This window comes from Homo sapiens, chromosome 2 (genome assembly GCF_000001405.40).
Source record: "Homo sapiens chromosome 2, GRCh38.p14 Primary Assembly".
NCBI lineage: Eukaryota > Metazoa > Chordata > Mammalia > Primates > Hominidae > Homo > Homo sapiens.
In genome coordinates, this window is record NC_000002.12 from 120,843,179 (window position 1) to 120,863,023 (window position 19,845).

Genomic DNA, 19,845 nt, shown 5'->3' on the forward strand with positions numbered 1-19,845 from the left:
TGGCAGCCAGCCTTTACGGAGCTACCTCCCCACCAAGATGCTCCCATTTAGTCCTCCCAACCCTGTTGTTACTGCCACTTTGCAGACACCTTTGGCTCAGGCGGTGAAGTCACTTTCCCAAGATCCCATAGGCAGGATCCATACCAGGCTTCCAGCCCCGAGGTAGTGCTGTTCAGAGCTGAGCCCATCACTGTGGCTACCCAGGCACACTTAGAACTTAGACGTCAGGACAAGATCTGTCTATACTTACAGCTGTACCCAGTCTGTGTTTTGGAGTTCACAAAAATAACCTCAAATGAGATTACAAGGGTAACTGAGGTGCCGTTTAAGGACATTATGTCCCCTGTTTCTTCCATGAAAATATTTTGAAAAGGAAAGCAAATACCCCGCTTTGGTTAAGGTCTGTGTAGTGGATTGCAGGGCAGCTGGGACTCTGCAGGTTCCACGGGCGTCAGAGGGGCTCTGGATCAGGGAGGAGTGTGGTTTATTTTTGTTGTTGTTGTTTTGAGACAGAGTCTCCCTCTGTCTCCCAGGCTGGAGTGCAATGGCACGATCTCGACTCACTGCAGCCTCTGCCTCCCGGGTTGAAGTGATTATCCTGTCTCAGTCTCCCAAGTAGCTGGGATTACAGGTACATGCCACCACGCTTGGCTAATTTTTGTATTTTTAGTAGAGACAGGGTTTCACCATGTTGGCTAGGCTGGTCTCGAACTCCTGACCTCAAGTGATCCGCCCACCTCAGCCTCCCAAAGTGCTGGGATTACAGGCGTGAGACACCGTGCCTGTCCAGGAGTGTGGTTTTGCTGGAGCCTGCAGTGTGGTCCCCGGCAGGACCCATCTCTCACTGGGCCTGTTTCCCACCTTTTACATCAGGGCAAGGGTCCTATCTGATGTCACCAAAGAACCCTGAGTAGCTCCTAGCAGAGGGTGCTTGACATTTTCCCTAGTTCGAAATTAGCAGTCAGCACACGTGTCTGTTAAGGGCCAGAGAGTAAAGATTTCAGTCTTTCCAGGCCATACGTATGGTCTCTGTCACAACTACTCTCCTCTGCCACTGGAGCTCAAAAGCAGCATAGATGGTATGTGCATGATCGAGCAGGGCTGTGTCCCAGTGAAATGAGCAGTGGACAGATTTGGCCTCAGGCTGTAGTTTGCTAATCCTTACTTTGATTGCCTAATGGCATTAGATGGAATCTGCATAAAATTAGTACATCCAGCCCTACTTGGGTACAAGCTCCATTTCTTGTGTCTTTATAGTGGGTGCAGGTGGGGCTTGGAGGGTCTCCGTCCCTTCCTGTCACTTTGCTGGCTGGGAAATCAGAAGACCAACTGCTAACTGACTAGCCTGGAGCAGCCTTTGTTGCTCTGAACCTCACTTTCCCCATCTGTAAAATGGGAAGGTTGGACTATGGTTTCTCAAAGATTCTTTCCAGCTCCAAAATGTTCTGAATTCTAGTTAGAAAGGAAATTAACGTTTTCTTCCCTGGAGGTTGTGGTTTCAGTTTGTGTCTTTGGTCACCAAGACAAAGTGGATAGGGTAATTTGGTGTTGTGATCTGCACCCCAAAGGGCACTTACTTTCTGGGGCACCCCATCCTAGCAGAGACCCCTCAGTCTCAGGAGCCAGTTGGGTAGGGATAATCCTTATTGCTTTCTTGGCCCACATAGTGTCCTGAAAATAAGGCTTCACCTGTGAGTTGCTGCATGATTCCAGGTGATGAACGTTAACCTCTCTAGCCTCCTGTTCTCCACCTGGAATTGCCCCCTGTGTAGACTGGGTGGGAGGAGCAGGTGAGGAAAAAAAGGAGAAAGAAGCTGGGCACGGTGGCTCATATCTATAATCCCAGCACTTTCGGAGGCTGAGGTGGGTGGATCACTTGAGGTCAGGAGTTCGAGACCAGTCTGGCCAGCATGGTAAAACCTCGTCTCTACTAAAAATACAAAAAATAGGCAGCCATGGTGGTGCACGCCTGTAATCCCAGCTGTTCGGGAGGCTGAGGCATGAGAATCACTTGAACCCGGGAGGTGGAGGTTGCAGTGAGCCGAGATTGTGCCACTGCACTCCAGCCTGGGTGACAGAGTAAGACTCTGTCTCAAAAATATAAACTAAAAATGAAGGAGAAAGAGATGCTTTGGAAATGCAAACAGCGCTAGGGCTTCATTAAGACGATGACATGTCTTGTGGTTGTTCCAAGGGAAGACATGCTATACAGGGAGGAAACATCCCCACTTGGCTTCAAGGAACTAGATCAGTCCTGGTTCAGCCAAGGCCCAGGCACGCCCACGTGGGCCTGGACTTTCTGCCGTGCTCACATGCTGCAGCTGCCAGTTGGCTGGGGCTGGCTGCCTCCAGTCTCCTTCTCAGACACTCCGCCCAGTTTTGGGTGGCCTGGGGACTGGAGAGGTGCTCCCTGGGAGACCTGGAAAGCAAACGGCACAGCAGTCGGGAGCCCCGGTCAGCTTCTTGTGCTGACTTGGCTCATTCTACCACTAATGAACTCGGGACACTGCCTGGACTCTTTCCTGATTGGAATCATGGGATGGGGTGGTACCCGCATGGATACCTCTGTTTCTGTGGCAAATCATCCACTTAGTAAATATTCATTACTTATTAGGTTCCAGGTATTGTGCCTGGAATACGTGGTAGTATTATGTAGATATTGTTGCTGAGGTTTTCCTAATTGCCAGGCATCAGACTAAATATTACACAGGTTAGCCCATTTGATCCTCACAACAACCCTTTCCAATTTACAGATGGGAAAACTGAGGCTAAGTGGAATTATCTAAGTCAGTCAGCTGGTTAGAGGCAGAGCCAGGATCTGGGTCTGTAACTGGACATCACTGGGGGCTCTGCCTTTCCCCAGGTCAGCTGGGAGATGTCACTAGGGGGGTCCGAAGCACGACTAGACCTACTCGTGTGTTGTCATTTGTGGAGTGGGCCTGGTTTAGATCTCCCCCGTCAGTCATTCTGGTTTCTTGCCGTGGAGTGGCCTCCCTTCCACCTTCTTCAAAGCCACCCAATTGGGGTCATTTTCCTAGCTTGCTGGATGGAGCTAATTACAGCATGCTCCTGGTCCCTGGCCCTTCCATGTGCATCTGTCTGGTGAGAGATAGGTGGAGTTCTGGGCTCTCTGTTTCTGGCTGCTCAGCAAAAATCACTCAGAAGAGGTTTTGTGAAAGCCTTTGTGGGCCTCAGCCATAACTGGCTGGGCCTGGGAGGTGCCCAGGTATCTGCATCGTTAGAGCAAGCTCTCTAAGGGGGCTCTTCACAGCTGCTGGGTCTCCGGGCAGTTGGTAATTTGGTGTGGGCTGAGTGCACAGGTGGTGGTACTGTACCTGTTCTGCAGGGGTCCTGAGGGGCTGGCACCTCTCCGGGCTGTTTTCCAACAGCCCCTGGTCGTGCCGAAGCACCTGTCCTGCCTTTCTGTTCCAGGCCACTCAGGTGTACCAGGTCAAGAGGCAGCCGTGTTTGGTTCCCCTCAATGAGTCTGGCTCTGGCAAAACCATGGCTCAGGCATGGAGCTGGGCAGTCCCAAGCTTGGTCCTCAGCCCTTTCCCTTCAAAGCCAGTTGGGTGAGTTCCTTGACCTCCCTGAGATTCTCTTTTTTCACCTATAAAACCCATGTTTCTAGCTGCATCTCAGAGTTGCTGTGCAGATGGAAGCGTCCTTGTGTTCAGAGGAGTGACAGTGACCGTGTCTTCAGCCCAGGCCTTGCACAGCGCGGGCACCGCAGCTGTTTGTTTGCAGCTCCTGGGAGCAAGCATGGGTTTTAGCTGTGTCTTTCCAGCTCCTAATAAAGTCTTGGCCTGTGGCAAGAGCTCAGCTACTCTGGTTTAGTCTCCAGGTTTGGGGGTTGTGATGGTTAGACCGTCATGGCTTTCCTTGCTTCTCGGGGGCTCTGCGTCTGAAACAAGAGGTGCGAGGAGGGCAACCAATCATCCGGGTTTGCCTGGGACTTAGGGAATTCCTGGAATAGTCCTAGGAAAACCTGAGGCTCTGGCAAGGAAGAACAGTGCTGACTGCTCCATCAGGCTCAGCAGGCACTGTGCTGAGGGCTCGTCATCCTGGGATGGGCCCAAAACGTTTTAATTTTTTAATAATCGGAAGAAAATAAATGAATATAATCCAGCCCAGAAGCCTGGATTATATTCGTCTTTAAACCAACACATTAGTAAAATATAATTTTTAATGTGTCTTATGGAGGAGGAGGTCCACACAGGTAAAAGCGTTTCGAGGTATGAGAGGGACCATGCAGTTCTGGGAGAGACCACTGCACCCAGGGACCCCCTGCCTTCCACGTCTCTTGAAGATCAGGAGGAAGAGAAGACAGCCAAAGAGAACTCCTGCGAGGCTCCTCCTGAGTTTCCAGCGATGGAAGGAAGCGGAGCAATGGCTGTTTCTGGGCCTGCCACCGCCTAGAACTTGGATTGGGGGGTTGGTGAACTTGGATTGGGGGATGGATTGGGGGATTGGATTGGAGCAGGCTGAATGTCAGCCCTGGAAACTGCCACTGGCCTCCCAGAGTGAGCTGGGAGATCCTGGTGTTCAGATGTTCCTGCCTTGGCTGCGTGGGGGGCAGGGGCGGGGGGGCGGTGGTTCCTATTTGGAGCCAGGGAGTTGATTTAATACAGCTGAGGCCAAGACCCAGCGTGGAGCCTACGACTGCAGCTGGATCCCTGCCAGCCCTCTTTCCCAGCCGCATGTGGCTCCAAATCCCAGAAAGGGAGAAACCCGCTGTGGGGAGGGGGTGCAGCAGATGTCACTGTCCCCACATGGTACTTCTTGTTTATCTTTTATTAAAGGCAGGCGCTTAGGCAGGGGCAGTGCTCAGAGCAGCCCTTGTGAGCGGGCCATGGTGGCGGCCTCCCTCAGAAGCTGTGGGAAGAGGGAGAAGGCATGAATAATGCAGGCTGCATCTTGACGGAGCTTGTCCGGCCCCCGCAGACCGCGCAGCGCGCACCTGAGCAAGCACTTTGAATGCCTCTGGCTTCTGAACTTGAGAAGGAAGCTCCCGGGATGGGCCTGACTCCGCCGCCTGGTTGCAATAGTCCTGGAAGGGGCGGCGGAGCAAGCAGAAGCCTCCTGCCCTGGCCCGTGGGTTTGCACCAGCTAGAACGTGGGGCTCCTCCATTAAGAGCTCCTTGGCGTTGGGAGCTACGCAGCCTCACCCCTCATCTTATCACACCAGGAGACCGGCGAGCAGAGTGGGGATGGCCACACAGGGAGTTCGCAGCAGGGTGGTGCTCTGCCTACCGACTCGCCCCTGGGGTTGTCCCTGTCGCCTCAGCCTTTCTCTTTATTTTGGGTGGAGGCAGGGTACTCAGGACAGGGATGAAAACTTAGGTCTGTTTTTCATTGTTCATCCTATTCTTGGCAACTTTTGCAGAAGGCGCTGGCAGGAAGGAGACCCTGGGGAGGGAAGAGTTGGAGGAGAAAGAAGTCTCCTTGGCACCTTTGCCTTTCCTGCTAAAAATGGTGGCAGTTCTGCATTTCTACTAAAAATAGCTAGTCCTCTGTCAAGAAGGCCACCCACACTGGGGTGTGGGGACTGGGGACAGCAAGATGTGGGCCCTGGGCCACACATTCTGTGGAGAGGCCTAGAAGCTCACAGATAGTCACTTTTCTTAGGAAGAAGGAAGGAGTGGCAGGAAGGGGCTGGGATGCCATCTCTGGAGAGCGGAGCGGCACTCCTGCCCCTGTGTGACAAGGACAGGTCTGCACACTCTGTCATGTATTACTCTAAGTGGCTTTAATATTAAATGGATGATGAAGGCAAGGATAAACAAACTGTAGCTTACCATATAATGGAATAGTATTCAACCATCAAAAGGAAGGAGATTCTGACACATGCTGCAACATGGATGAACCCCAAGGATATGCGCTAAGTGAAACAAGCCAGACACTAGAGGACACGTCCTCATGATTCTACTTATATGAGGCCCCTAGGGTAGTCAAATTCAGAGAGACAGAAAGTAGAATCGCAGCTGTCAGCGGCTGGGGAAGAGGGGAATGAGGAGTTAATGTTTAATGTGCACAGAGTTTCAGTTTGGGAAGATGGAAAAGTTTTGAAGATTCACAACAATGTGAATGTATTTGATGCCACTGAACTGTACACTTAAAAATGGTTAAAATGGTAAGTCTTATGTTATATATATTTTACCATCATTTTAAAAAAATTAAATGGGTGTCGTTGATTCCTCTCTTCCTCTCAACCTCCCATATAGAATGACTAGAATCCAGGTGTTTATCTTTTATGCCAATAGTGATGATGATGATGATGATCATGATGATGATGATGATGGCGGCAATTGTGTTCTTTTGTAGAGAAAGTAAGGTAACTCTCTGGGGTAACCAGGGCAGACCCTGTGAGTATTGGATCCTAGTGCCAAGCTTGGAGCACTCTGGCATTTGGGGGTCTCCCTATGGAATTGCTAAAGCTACCATTGGACAAGCCCCACTCATCTATGCAGAACTTCTAACCAAGTTTCCAGTCCCTCTTCTTTAAATGTGAGTGGACACCCAGGGTTTAAGTGACATCTGAAGAAAGGCTGCTATGTGAAAGAGCAACGTCCACATGGACGACTGGGAAAGCATGGTTCCCAAAGCAGCGGAATTCAGGAGGAGATGAAAATGTAAACAGAAAATTGACCTCCCACCCATTGGTATCCTCAGAAAGGCCCAAGAAAGCATTGCATCCATAAAACAAGAACAGGATGCTATGAAATAAGAATATTTGGAGAACAAAAAAGAGCTTTAGATTAAAAATATGATAGTTGAAATAAAAAGTTCATTAAAGGGATACATGACATTTCATGAAAAGAAGAAGAAAGCAAAGACTGGAACATCTGAAAGGAAAGCTGAGAAAGATGCAATACAAAGGCAGGTGATGGAGTATTTGACTAATGGAAGTTTCAGAAACTGAAACAGAAAACAGACGGGAGAAGGTTATACAAGAACAATACAAGAAAATTGCCTGGATCAGGACAAAAATCTTCACATTAAAACATCCCTCAGTGTGCCCAGCACTTTAAAAGAAAAAAAATAATTTAGACATGTGATTGTAAAATTTCAAATAACCAAGAATAAAGTAACGCTTCTGAAAACTTCTAGAGAAGGGGAGAACAGAACAGAACAGAACAGAACAAAACAAAACTAAACAGCCTAGGTCATCTACAAACGAAGGAGGACTAAACTACTACCCTTCCGATCAACAGCAGTGAGTGTGTCAAGTCAGTGAATTTGCCCTGGGAAATTAGCAATGAAACTATCAGACAAGCTCTCAGGCAGATGGGAGGGGACAATAAGGCTATCTTCAGTCATATAGGAGGGACTCAAAGCATTTACCTTCTGTATATCTTTGGCCTTTACTTAAGGATTCTCTCTTACAGCGTAAGGGAGTAAGTGAATGCAGGGAAGACCTGAGGTCCCAGGAGGGAGACCCCCAAGAAGGGAATGATAGCAAGGCCGGGGCTGTGCAGCTGCCCCCTCTCTACAGTCAGAGCAGAGGCTTGAGGGATTCCAGGGGAGGGACTCCAGAAGAGGGCTGCAGCCCTGGTGCCTTTGGAGGATCGGGAGCTGCTGTCATCACTGTGCGAGAGGCAGGGGTTGGCCTTATACACCATTCTGTGTGTGGTGGGGGAGGTCCAAGTGAATTGAGTTGTCCTCTGTATAAATAACCAATAAATCAGAAACATTAAGCTCATAGGATTAAAGAATCAAAACGTGGTATTTTAATACCTTCCTTATATAGATCAGATAGCTGCCAGAGGAATTAAGAGCAGGAACATTTTTTCAAAGTTAAAAGTGGTTGCCTCCAGGGCACAGGGAGGGGACTATTGCCTTTCATTATAAGCCCTTTGGTGCTATTTGTTCTTTAAAAAATCATACGCAGATCTTTTCTCAGCCTTTTGGCTAAGATCAAGTGTAAAAATCATATGCAGGATTGCTTAGATTTTTTTAAAAAAAGAAAAAGAATCATGAAAATTAAAATGAAAGAACTTGCATGGGCCCCAGTTTGTAACAAGAACTCATTGGGGGTGGACTCAGGGCAGCATGGAACAGGCCTCTCAGTGGTGTTCCTGGGACCATGGGCTGGGCCACCTTAAGGGAGGTCATGATGGCTAGGCTGGGCTGGGACTGGAGTGACCTCTCAAGTGAGGAGTTTTCAGTTCTATGTTGCTCTGTTTGGATTTACTTTTTTGGAAATACACAAAAATGCAGCCCGTGGGCCCCCAGGGCCAGGGGACTGGAGGTGGCCCCTGCTCTTGTTGCCTGCAGGTTGTGGTTGGGCTTGTCTGACATGCAGCATGACCAGGAAGGCTTTGTCAAGGCTGCTGTGTGCCTGGGGTCATTAGATCCTGGGATGACTGCCTGTGACTTAGGCCTGGTCCCTGCCCTTGGGGCCTGGCTGGTACTGAACTGGAGTCTGGTGTAGCTCCAGGCAGACTGAAAGGCCCCACCAGGGAGGTCTTCACACTGTCCCCGAACACAGAGGAGGCAGTGAGTGCCAGCCGGGCATCAGGCAGTGGGCTTGGGCTAAACCAGTGCAGTCCCCACCTCCCTGGCACTCCTGTTCCTGTGAGGAAGAATAGACAATCAACAAGTCAACACACAGGTGAAACACTTTGAGGGAGAGGTGCTATGAAGAAAATAGAGTGGGCATGAGAGGGTAACTGGGAGATGCCCCCCACTGGGTACTGGGGAAGGCCTTTCCCAGGAGGTCCCATTTGAGAACTGAAAGCTTAGATAGCGTGAGCCTTAGGAAGCAGGTTTGCAGAGAATACAAGCAGTGCCATCTGGTAGGAGGGGCAGCATTGCCACGTCTTGGAGAAATACACCAGTCAATTGAGGAGTGAGCTGAGACTGGAAAGGCAGGCCAGAGGTGGGACAAGGAGCCTGACTCCACACTAAGGGCGAGAAGTCCCAGGCCCAGAGTGAGTGGGGAAGGCCCTAAGGGAGTTGTAGGATTAGAACCCAGATGGCATTCGCCTGTGTGGAGGGTGAACCTGAGCTTGGAGTCTTTCAGGAGTTGGAGAGAGGAGGAGGACAGGTTGGAGCACATGGAGTCATCCCTACCCTGCCCAGGCCTATGGATCGCACAGAGACGGATGGGCAGAGAGTCGTTCCCCATGCAGCGGGGCTCCTCCTGAGCTCCATTTTCGGGCCAGCTCTGTGCTGGGCTTGGGTGGGGCCACTGCAGGCCAAAGGAGGTGCTGAAACACATAGCACTCCTGCCTACCCCCACCAGGGGTGCCAGGGGGACAGCTGGCTTTCCGACAGGACCCCCAGATGATATGTCGTGTCCGTGCCAATGAAGTCGAGGCAGGACTGAGGGACGAGTGTGTTTCTGAGGGATGGCATCCAGGACCAGTGCCAGCATTCCAGAGGCAGGGCCGCCTGTAAACACAGACAGGGGAGGTAGCTGTTTATGTGGTTGGTTTGAGGAAGGCTTCTCTGCCCACAGATACCTCTCCTGCCTCCCCAGCCCACTTTGGGATCAAGCCTAGAATTCCACCATTATAGGTTCATTCCTTTGGCTTGCAATACAAACATCCCAGTGAGGAGGTGATCCCTGAGCTGTCACTGGTACTGAGCACCCCGTATGCCTTGGTAGGTCATCAGGACCTTTGCCATTCAACAGGACAGCCAGCCAGCACTCGCTGTGCCCAGTGTGTGGCCACTGTGATGGTTCTGGGTGTGTGAAGAGGGTCAGGTGCTGTCCACCCACTCTGGGGGAGACAGACGCAGGAAGGGATAATGAGTAATGAATTCTGTGAGAGAGTGGCCAGGAACAGAGGAGCACAGAGAAGACAGCAATGTGCATCCTTGGGCAAATCGAAAATCCCAAATCCCCTACCCTCTCTGGCCCTCGACATGATCGCTCAGGAGACAGTAGACGACACTGTCTCTGCAAGGCGAGTGAAGGCCAGCAAGGTGCTGGCCCTCAGAGGGTCTTTGGCAAAGGCTTTCTGCGGGGGCTGGAGGGGGGTAGGTCTAGGTTCAGCTGAGGCTGAAAGGAGGGCCAGGAGACCTTCAAAGGGACAGAGAAGGTGCAGGCAGACCAGGACGAGGAGGTTGGCACAAAGGTGTGAGGCATGGGGCTGCCAAGAGCAGTTTGATCCAGGACAGAAGCTGGAGATTTGAGTTCAGAGAATGACACCTCAGGTCACTAGGGACTGGGCCTGGGGAGAGAGGAGGTGTCGTGGAAGAGAAATTCTGTGACATGGTTCCACCATTGGTTCTGGGGAGAAGATTCTCCTGCAGCTCAGAGGGGTCTCCCTTGAGAAAGGCCCTGGGCCTGTCTAGCAGGAGCAGCAGGCCTGCCAGTCTGCAAGGGCTGGCATGGGATTGCAATGCTGAGCTTTCTGGCTGTTTGGATCTGTTGTTTTTCTAAGTCACTAGTCCCTTGCATATTAAGAGAAAGAAGAGAGTGAAACCCAAAAGATGACATAATCATACTTTCCTTCATTTTCCAATGAAGGTCTCCCTTTTGCTTTTCCAAATTGTTGCTATCAGGAGAAAGACGCACATGGTTTCTGTATGACATGTGTTGAGCCTCTCTCCTCGCAGGCCCCAGGGGTCAGGTCCCCACCTTGGGACTTGCTTTGATTCTCACCTCCTGGCATCTGTGTGGGGTGCTGTCTGAATGGCATGGTTACAGGTGCAGCTGGCTAGGGTGGGTCTAGGGGACTGCATTTGCACGGTGGTGGTAGTGGGGATGTGGGTCCCCTATGAGATGGAGCAGCTTGGGGGTAACAGCCAAGATGTACAGGCACTTCCTGTCCATGGTGGCCTGTGGCTCCCCCGAGCCCATTTTTGTCTCCTCCTTCATTCTACCAGCATTTATCAAACACCTATTGTGTATCGGGGCTATAGTGGGAAATAAGACAGATTCCTGCCCTCAAACTGCTCACATTCTGGTGGAAAAAAACCAGCCAAGAGTGTAGGAGTTACAGTGTAGAGAGGTAAGAGCACAAAAGGGCAGCCCAAGGGCAGGGCCGGGAGTCAAGGAGAGCTTCCTGGAGGAGGTGACTCCTGAGCTGAGTCTCAGAAGAGGAGCAGAAGTTTGGGTCAAAAATTTCTAGGCAAAGAGTACAGCAAGTGTGAAGGCAGTGACCCTGGCAGGCCCTGTCAGTTCACCTCCATCCTCTGGTCACACTTGGGTCCCACTTTTAAGAGGGTCTGCCTGCCAGTTCCAGCCGCGCATAGCCTTCCCTTTCCTGAGGCCGACAGGATGTGTCATATCACCTGCCCAGTGCTGCTTCAAGGGGGGCTGCCCCAGTCATCTGCTGAGTGTGTGAGCAGTCCCCTCCCCTGCAGGCTGTGACAATCAGGGGAAATCAGGATCCCAGAAGAACCTTTGGAACCCTGAGGGGCTACAGCTGCAGAAGGGGTCGTGTTTCATGTCACCCATTATATTTGGTCTCCACGATGTGTATGTTCTGAGGTTTTCTGCTTTCAATGCCTGGGACACGCCTGAAGATGAGGAGAAACCAGAAGGAAGGCATGTGCACCAGAATGGACTTCTTGAGTGCTCGCTGTTTGCCTAGCATGGGGTTCTTAAATTATCAGGTGCATCAGAATCACCCAAGAGACTTGTTAAACATGAGATTCTGGGCTCCATCCTGAGTTTCTGACTCAGTAGGCCTGCGATGGGGCTTGAAAGTTTGCATTTGTAAGTCCCCAGATGCTGCTGCTGCTGCTGTTGGCCCAGAACACACTTGGAAAGCCTCTGGTTCAGCCCAGGGCTGGGCACTCTGGCCTGTCCAGGGCCAGCATGGGGCAGGACCCCTTCGTGGGCTGGCAGGAGCCCTGCACACCCTCCACACAGAGCAGGCTCCCCTCGAGGTCATCGCGGAATGACCCTGATTTCCTCATCTAATTTGAGAGGAGGTTTATTTGGGCAGGAATAATAAAAAGCACAGCAAATGAGCAGAGGAAAACAGAACCCACCAGACATGCAAACTCACAGAAATAAACAATTTGCCGATGATCAGGGAAGAGGCTACAGGAAGGAGTTTGTGCAGACAGCTCCTATGAGAAAATGGTCCCTGGGAGGTCCCAGAGGGCTTTCCGGCTGCACGCTGACCCTGGAGGCAGCTGTCAGCTGTGGCACCATGGTTGTTCTCGTGCTTGGAGCTGTCTTCAAAGCCAGTGAGCGAGCCACTCAAGAAACTTGGTTGGTCAGGTGGCTTCACAGATGTACTCTGCTTTTTACCCAAACAGTCTGCACAGTGCATTGTCCATCAGCATGTGTACCCAGGGAGCACTGTGAATTCAGGGCCCTGTGTCTCCAGTACTCAGCATGGTTACAGAATGGGTGAAGGTGCAGTGAAGTGACACCCTCTTCCCATCACTAAGGATATTCACAAGGTTTAAAAACAGTTCCCAAAGCAGGATTCCCAAAGACGCTCTCCAGAGAAACCGTGGAGCCCCCCAGGGGAATTGAGATGATGAAACTACTGCGAGCTCACTTTTCTTAGGGTTCCAGGCACTGCTTGGTTTTCCATGCACTGGATTATTTAATCCTCCAACAGCCCTGGTAACAGTCCCATAATCCTCACTGGACAGTGGGGGAAATGGAGACCACAGAGGTGATGTGATGGGCCTGAGGTCCCACAGCTGGTAAGGGGTGGAGCAGCCTTCCAGCCCTGGCTCTCTGACCCTGGGCCTCTGCTCTGAGCCTCTGTGCTGGGCCTCCTCTCCACTCAGGAAGGCACACATATGTTCTATTAGGTTCATTAAGGAAAATCAGTTACCCTATTTAAAACACCAGCAGGCACCATTTGTGCAGCGCCTACTTGGATCTGGGGACCTGGATTATCTCGTGCCATCTTGATAAAAGCAAGGTCACTGTGCTTGTCCCCAGTTTACAAAGGGGTCATTTGAGGCTCAGGGAGGGAGGTGACTTGAGCAGGGCTGTACAACTGGAACTGATCCCTGGGCTGCTGACTCCTCAGCCTGAGTTCTCCCTGCTGTCCATCCCGCACTTATTTTCCAACACCTCAGGCTGAGAAGCTGCCTGTTCTGCCTGCCTGGCTTCTCTCATGATGCCAGCCAGGAGGGAGTGAGGGCAGGGGGTGCCCACCTCTAGCAGCTCAGGCAGGTTCTAATGTGGGCATTGGCAGCGCCTTCTGGGATCAGAGCTGCTGTGCCACTCACCTTGCCACCCTTTGTTGCACCTTCTAGCTCCTTCCTGTGGGGCTCCAGGTTGGGAATCAGGCCTCCCATTTATGGCAGGTTTGGGCCGACTGTGCCCGGGCCAGGAAGCAGGACGGCTCCTAGGTAGAGATTTGGATGGGGTTCTCACCATCATGGGCCTCGTTTTAAAGTGGACCTGCCCACCGCCCCGATCTCCACTGCCTGTAGACTTTGCAGTGTCCGGACCTGGCTTTGACCTGGGACCAGCCACTGTGTAAGGGAGCTGGCTCAGCTGCCTACAGAACACTCTCATGGCACCGGAACCTCCAGGGCCCCCTAATCTCCAGGGACTGCAGTCCCGAGCCCTCTGTCATTCTACTTGCCTGACCACTGCCCTCCCATGGCTCTGCAGACCAGCGCTTTCCTGGGCTGCTCTGTTGGCTGTCCCACTGCATTCCTCAGGGGCGTCTGAAGAAGCCTCGTGTGGCTGGAATGGGGATAAAATCCAGACGGAAAGGCCTCTGATGAGGACTTGGGCCTTTGGTGTGCCTGGCTCACTTCAGGCCTGGAGGGAGTAGCCCTCTCTGGGTTGAACTGGGCCCAGAGGCCCTCTGATTTATATCAAGGTGGGAGCTGCCTGGGCAGGCAGAAATAATAAAGGTGTGGGCCGGGGCTTATGGAAGATGGGGTGGAGGGAAAGCTGGGCAGAAAAGCTCATCCTTCCATGCCTTTTGGCCATGCTAGCCTAAAGACCAGGGGAAGGCTTAGAGCTTAGTGATGCACCCAAGACGTGCAGGGCTGTGGATCTTAACCTCTGAAGCCACTGCCCACTCTGTGGGCAGCTGCACATCACAAAGATCTAAACTGAAATGGCTATGGAGGAAAGAGGAGTGAGGTGGGGAGGAGGGTAGTGACAGAGAGATGACAGGAGGAAATATCCTGACTAGAGAGCTTCCATCCATTCAACCACCCACCTACCCATCTGCCCATCCACTTACCCATTTGCCCACCCACCTACCCATCTGCCCACCCACCTACCTATCTGCCCACTCACCTACCTACCCATCTGCCCACCCACCCACCCACCTACCCATCTGCCCACCCACCCACCCACCTACCTACCCATCTGCTCACCCACCCACCTACCTACCCATCTTCCCACCCAGCCACCCACCTACCCATCTGCCCGCCCACCCACCGACCCACCCACCTACCTACCCATCTGCCCACCCACTCACCCACCTATCCATCCATCCACCCACCCATTAACTGATCCACCTCACCCAAACACCCACCTACTCATCAACCCATCCATCCTACCCAAACACCTATCCATTCATCCACCCACCAGGCCACCCCGCTATCCAATGCATTTTTCATCAATCACCTGCTATATTCCAGCATTTTCATCCAGGTCCCACCTCAGTGTAGCCCACAGGGGATCAACCCCCCCACCCCCACCCCCACCACCAGTTTCTGATCTCTTTTTGCACGCACAGCCTGATGGTGGCCCTGGGCCCTTGTAAACCCTCCTTCCCATTTTCTGATACTCTGCTTGTTTCTCCTCGTGGCCCACTGAGATAGTAAGCTCCTTCACTCAGAGTTGCGGTTGCTTCTAATTCCCTCGCACCTTTCTTAGAGCTCTCCTTGGAGGAGTTGCTCAGAGCATCTTTTGTGGGTCGATGGAAAGGTTACTGGGAAACTTCAGTTGTTTGAGACTGGGATCACCTGGCCTCTGTGTAGGGTGGTCGAGGTGAGAAGGGAGCTCACGTTAGGTGAACACCTGCTGAGTGCTCAGGGGGCGGGGGAGAATGACAGCTTGGTGCTGGGGAAAGAACCCATGTTTGGAGCTGGCAGGGGTGGGATTGGTTCCCGGAGTTGATGCCAGCTGTGTGGCTTTCAACAAGTCACTTAAGCTTTCCGAGTCTCAGTGTTTTTATTTGTCAAGAAACAAAATATAAACAAACCTGAACAATTAAATGCACATGTAAGTACTCCTTGTGGTACTTGGCATGTGGCTAGTGGGTGATGGTCTCTCCCCATGCCCCCGCCATGTCCATAGATTTGAAGACTGATCAAGGCTACTTTGTTGAGTTAAAATGGGCATAGATGAAGCTTGGCTCTGGGTCAGGGCCAAGCTAGTGAACAACAATGGGCAGCCTCTGATGTTTCTGGCCTCTCGCCTCCACCCTTGTCCTGTCTCATCCTCTTGGCCACCGGCCTGCTAGTCCCCTGGGCAGGATGGGGGAAGAGACAAGCTGCTGAGTTGCTGGAGGGCAGGATGGCTTGGATTCAGCCTGCTGCCTTGCTGTGGACCCTGTGGCTCAGGCCCTCTGTGCAGCCCAGTGGCCGGAGGCTGGTTATCCATAAGCAGGAAATGGTGGAGGTGAGCTGAGCATGAGATGATGTCAGGAGATGTGGGGCAGGAGGCTGGGCTCTGGGGAGGGCCTGCAGTGCTGGGGGGCACAGGCATTTAATCAACTGAATTCCCACTGTCCTCTCTCCAACTCCATTTATTACCTATTAAATAATTATCTCATTTGGAAAGTGTTTCTTAATGTAGGGCAGACTCTATCCCCAGGGCCATGGGTTTTGCAACGAGTTGTCTCCTGTGTGCGTGTTCCAGGCTTGGGCAGGACCGGAGCGTTCTTGCCCTGGCTGTGCCTCTGCCTGAACCAGGCTTTCCGGAGGCACGGTAAAGCGGGTGCCCCCTCCCCTCGACCTGGCTAATAGCCTCATTACAAGGGTTTTCTTAAGCAGTATTCTGTCTTCTAAAGGGGACTGCCTAGGGCTGGGCTTCTGAAGTTACTTGCTATTTTCTGGGACTCTGCCTTAGGATCTCCAAAACGTCTGAAAATGTCAGGGATGGGAGAGGCCTTTGTCGTTTTTACAGGTGAGGCCACTCAGGCCCTGAGATCACACATTGAGTTGATGGCAAAAGCAGAAGCCTAGGCCTCCCGCCTGCAAATGCAGAGCTTGCTCTGCTTCATCTCCTTTTGTCTTGGAATGTCATTGGAGCTTAAGGGTGGCCCCTTCCCCTCTTGAAGGAAGGGCTGTTTCCTGAAACAAGAGCAGGGAAGCTGTGTTGAGTGAATGCAGCTCTGCCTCACAACAGCCCTACAGATACTCCCTCCTTTTTTTTTTTTTTTTTTTTTTTGACAGAGTCTCGCTCTGTCACCAGGCTGGAGTACAGTGGTGCAATCTTGGCTCACTGCAACCTCTGCCTCCCGGGTTCAAGTGATTCTCCTGCTTCAGCCTCCGGAGTAGCTGGGACTACAGGAGCACACCACCGTACCCAGCTAATTTTTGTATTTTTAGTAGAGATGGGGTTTCACCATGTTGGCCACAATGGTCTCCATCTCTCGGCCTCAGGTGATCCGCCCGCCTTGGCCTCCTAAAGTTTGGGGATTACAGGCGTGAGCCATCGGGCCCGGCCTTTTTTTTTTTTTTCTTTTGAGATGGAGTTTTGCTCTTGTCACCCAGGCTGGAGCGCAATGGCACAATCTCAGCTCACTGCAACCTCCGCCTCCTGGCCTCTTGGCCAGGCTGGTCTGGAGCTCCTGACCTCAGACGATCTGCCCACCTCAGCCTCCCAAAGTGCTGCGATGACAGGCGTGAGCCACCATGCCCGGCCAATACTCCCTTTTTTGTTATTAATAAGTTATACAGACTTTCTAGAACATGTGCAAACAGTACTGAAGCACGTGTAGAAACACAAGCCTTGCCCCTCTGTCTGCTCCCCAGAGGTCATGGTGGTGGTCAGGCAGGTGCACGCCCTCCTCCTGGCTGTGGTGTGAGGGTGGATTGAAGGGGACCAAGGAGAGTGCATCGGAGTGCATCATTAAGGTCCTCTAGGCAAGAAGCAGAGGTAATGGACCAGGGTGGGCTTCAGATTTGTCTTCCAGTTTCAGGTGTTTAGAGTAAGGTCAAGCGGTCAGTACCACAGCGTGCCCTGAGGATGGCTTCGGTCAGTTCCAGTACCCCCAAGGAGCTGCATGAAGGTCTCACCTCATCCTATCACCTACCCTGGGCTTCTTCATCTGCAGGGTGGGGCTCACTGTCCTCAGGTCCTGAGATTCTCTCAGGCCCCCAACACAGGCCCTGGGGCTGCCCATGATCAGGCCAGCTGTCAGTGTCCATTGCAGAAGCTCAGAGGGCCCCCTGGGACTTGGCTCCCTTTCGAGATTCTGGGAGCAGACTACAGCAGCGGTCACTGACCCTGGAGTGGTCACGGGCCACTTTGAGGAGTTGGATAGCTTGAAGGATGAATGGCTGAGCTGCAGGGAGAGATCTGGGGAGGGCATTTCAGGCAACGGTTCTGGTGGGTCAAAAGATGCAGGAGGGACCTGGGTGTAGCCTGTTTGCCTGCAAGAAGGCCCTGTGTGGAAGAGGCAGGGTTCCTTATGGATCCTGGGCCTGGCCCATTGTTAACAGGGAGCCGTCTGGGACTCTAGAGCAGTGAGGGGGCAGCCCAGGTACAAGACACATGGTGATGAGGAAGGAGCTAGGGTCAGACCCTGGCTCGGCCACTTGGTTTCCTGAGGCCCTGCGTGGATTACCCCATTTCTAATATGGCCAGGGTTAATGTACCTGGCCCAAGGATTGTTGTGAAAATTAGAGATCCGTTATGGCCAGCACACAGGAGTGTGCAATGGTGATGCAAATGATATAAATGATGATGAATGAGGCAGAAGCTGGACCACTCTGCCTTTAAAATCCTGAAGCCCTAGATGCCCACCCTAATCATGAGAGCTGTCATTTATTATGCAATGACTGGGTGATGATTAGAGCCCATTTACCCTCTGCAAGAGAGTCTCTATCACCCATTTTACAGGTGAGGAACCCGAGTTTCCTGATGTCTCTGAGGCCATGTAGCCCATGAGTGACGGAGTGCGAATTCCATTCTGTGCTGTCTGTTCAGTGTGGTTCATATTCTACCAGACTCCAGCCCTGCCTGTGAAACCCCATATGTAGTGGGTGCTGACGTGAATATGAAATAGCAGGTGTGCCCCATGAGAGAAGCTCAGCAGGCCCCTGCAGGCTTCCTGGAGGCACCTCCTGTAGTATGGCCCTTGGATGGGCCTGCTGCCCCTGTGATTCAGCTCCAGGTGGAGCCTGGGAGGGGTCCCAGTCCTGGGCCTGTGGCTGGAGTCGCCCACGCTATAGTCATCCAGTCTCCTGTCAAGATCTTTTGCTCACTCAACTTGCTTTTTAAAACAAAAAAGCATCCAAGTGGTTCAGTCTCCAAGCCTGGGCTGCTCTTGGGCCCTCTTGAGAATTTGGACACCAGGGTTTGCTGATTGCCACAGCAGGGATTAACCCTCCACGGCCCGTGGCATTCTCCCAGCTCGCTGACCCTGGGGGAACCGGGGCCTGCTGAGCTGAGCCCTTTGTTAATACAGACGAAAAAGGCATTAACCTGCCGGTCCTGAGGCTGTCCACCGCAGAAATGTGACTTCCCTGCCTGCACGTTAAGTGCTAATATGCTCACTAGCTGGCCTGTCCACCCCACAGACTCATTACCGCCTGACCACAGTGGAATTGCAGAGCCAGGCAGGGGTTGTGTCTGCAGGCTCTGGCAGCTCGGCAGATTTCAATGAGATGATCGCTTGTCATTTCTTATTAATGAGCGAGTGCCTGATTCATTATACATCTGAGGGGTGAACCACCCCAGATGGGGAGGAGGAACACGGAGATGTGCAGGCACCACAGAAGGGGTGACGTGGCCCGTGTGTGAGTCTTTTCTTCCTCTTTCTTCCTGCAAGAAACAACTAAGAAAAGCTTTCCCGCTTTGGCAGGCAAGGCTTGGGTGACAGGCTATGTAATGGTGAAGGGGAGGCAGCCCCATGGCAAAGGGAAATTATCGCATAGAGGGCAGATGTCTATGCAGGAGGGCTTCCAAGGAGACCTGGAATGAATGTGGGGTGAGCCCTGGCCCAAAGGCATTTGCTAAATGTTTGTGGAATAAACAAATGCCTACACAGGAAATGCCTCCTAACATAAGGATGCAGTTCGCCCACCCCTCCGCCAGGCTCCTGCTGTGTGCCAGGCATTGCACGAGGTACTGGGGACACAGCAGGCCTTGCCGTCTGGGGGCTCCAGGGACTCCTGGGTTATGTCTGCCCTGCCACTAAGGTATCCGTGTGACTTCAGGCATCCCTGTTTCCTTATCTGTAAAACATGCTGAGCTGTGCGTGACCCCGTCTCTCTGTCTTCTGTGGGGTGGATTGGCAAGAGCTGTGGGAGCCGGAGCCCTTGTGGGTCCATCGTGAGCACTTTGTGTGTAGGTGGGCCGGTGAGGGTGCTGAGCTGGGCAGGTGGGGGGCCAAGCCTGGGCCTTCTCAGATCTTTGAGGAAATGCACAATATCTTATTCATTATCGCTTCACTGGTGCCTGTGCAGGGCAGGCACTCCGAGGTTCTGGGTGAGCGAGTGTGGGGTTAGCAATACAGCCAAAGTGGAAGGCTGGCCCCGGCTCAGAGCGGGGCTCCTCCCGCCTAAGAGGACAGCCTGCTCAGACCTCCAGCTAATAGGGCTGGTGGCAAATTGTACTTTGTGTTCATTGGTAGCATGAGATTGTAGCTCGTATCTCTTTCCCTCCCTGGCTCCCCAGTCGGAGGGAGCTTCCAGAGGCAGTGGAGCAGCTGGGGATCAGCTCTGCCCCTTGCCAGCTGCAAAAACTCAAGTCTTGGGTTTTCATCCATG

The 19,845-nt window shown here is 52.4% G+C and overlaps 1 protein-coding gene across 6 annotated transcripts in view, besides 2 other annotated features; it reads left to right on the forward strand.

The window, feature by feature from the left end:
• GLI2 (GLI family zinc finger 2) overlaps nucleotides 1–19,845 on the forward strand; it is a 256,786-nt gene that overhangs the window by 107,311 nt on the left and 129,630 nt on the right. The gene's annotated exons all lie outside the window — the stretch shown is intronic.
• Nucleotides 2,981–3,481: an enhancer, noted in NCBI's record as "H3K4me1 hESC enhancer chr2:121603734-121604234 (GRCh37/hg19 assembly coordinates)". NCBI's record gives its function as "activates a minimal SCP1, AML or CMV promoter by ChIP-STARR-seq in primed H9 embryonic stem cells {active_cell/tissue: H9 hESC(primed)}" and the evidence as "EXISTENCE:reporter gene assay evidence [ECO:0000049][PMID:30033119]".
• Nucleotides 13,183–13,832: an enhancer, noted in NCBI's record as "H3K27ac-H3K4me1 hESC enhancer chr2:121613936-121614585 (GRCh37/hg19 assembly coordinates)". NCBI's record gives its function as "activates a minimal SCP1, AML or CMV promoter by ChIP-STARR-seq in naive H9 embryonic stem cells {active_cell/tissue: H9 hESC(naive)}" and the evidence as "EXISTENCE:reporter gene assay evidence [ECO:0000049][PMID:30033119]".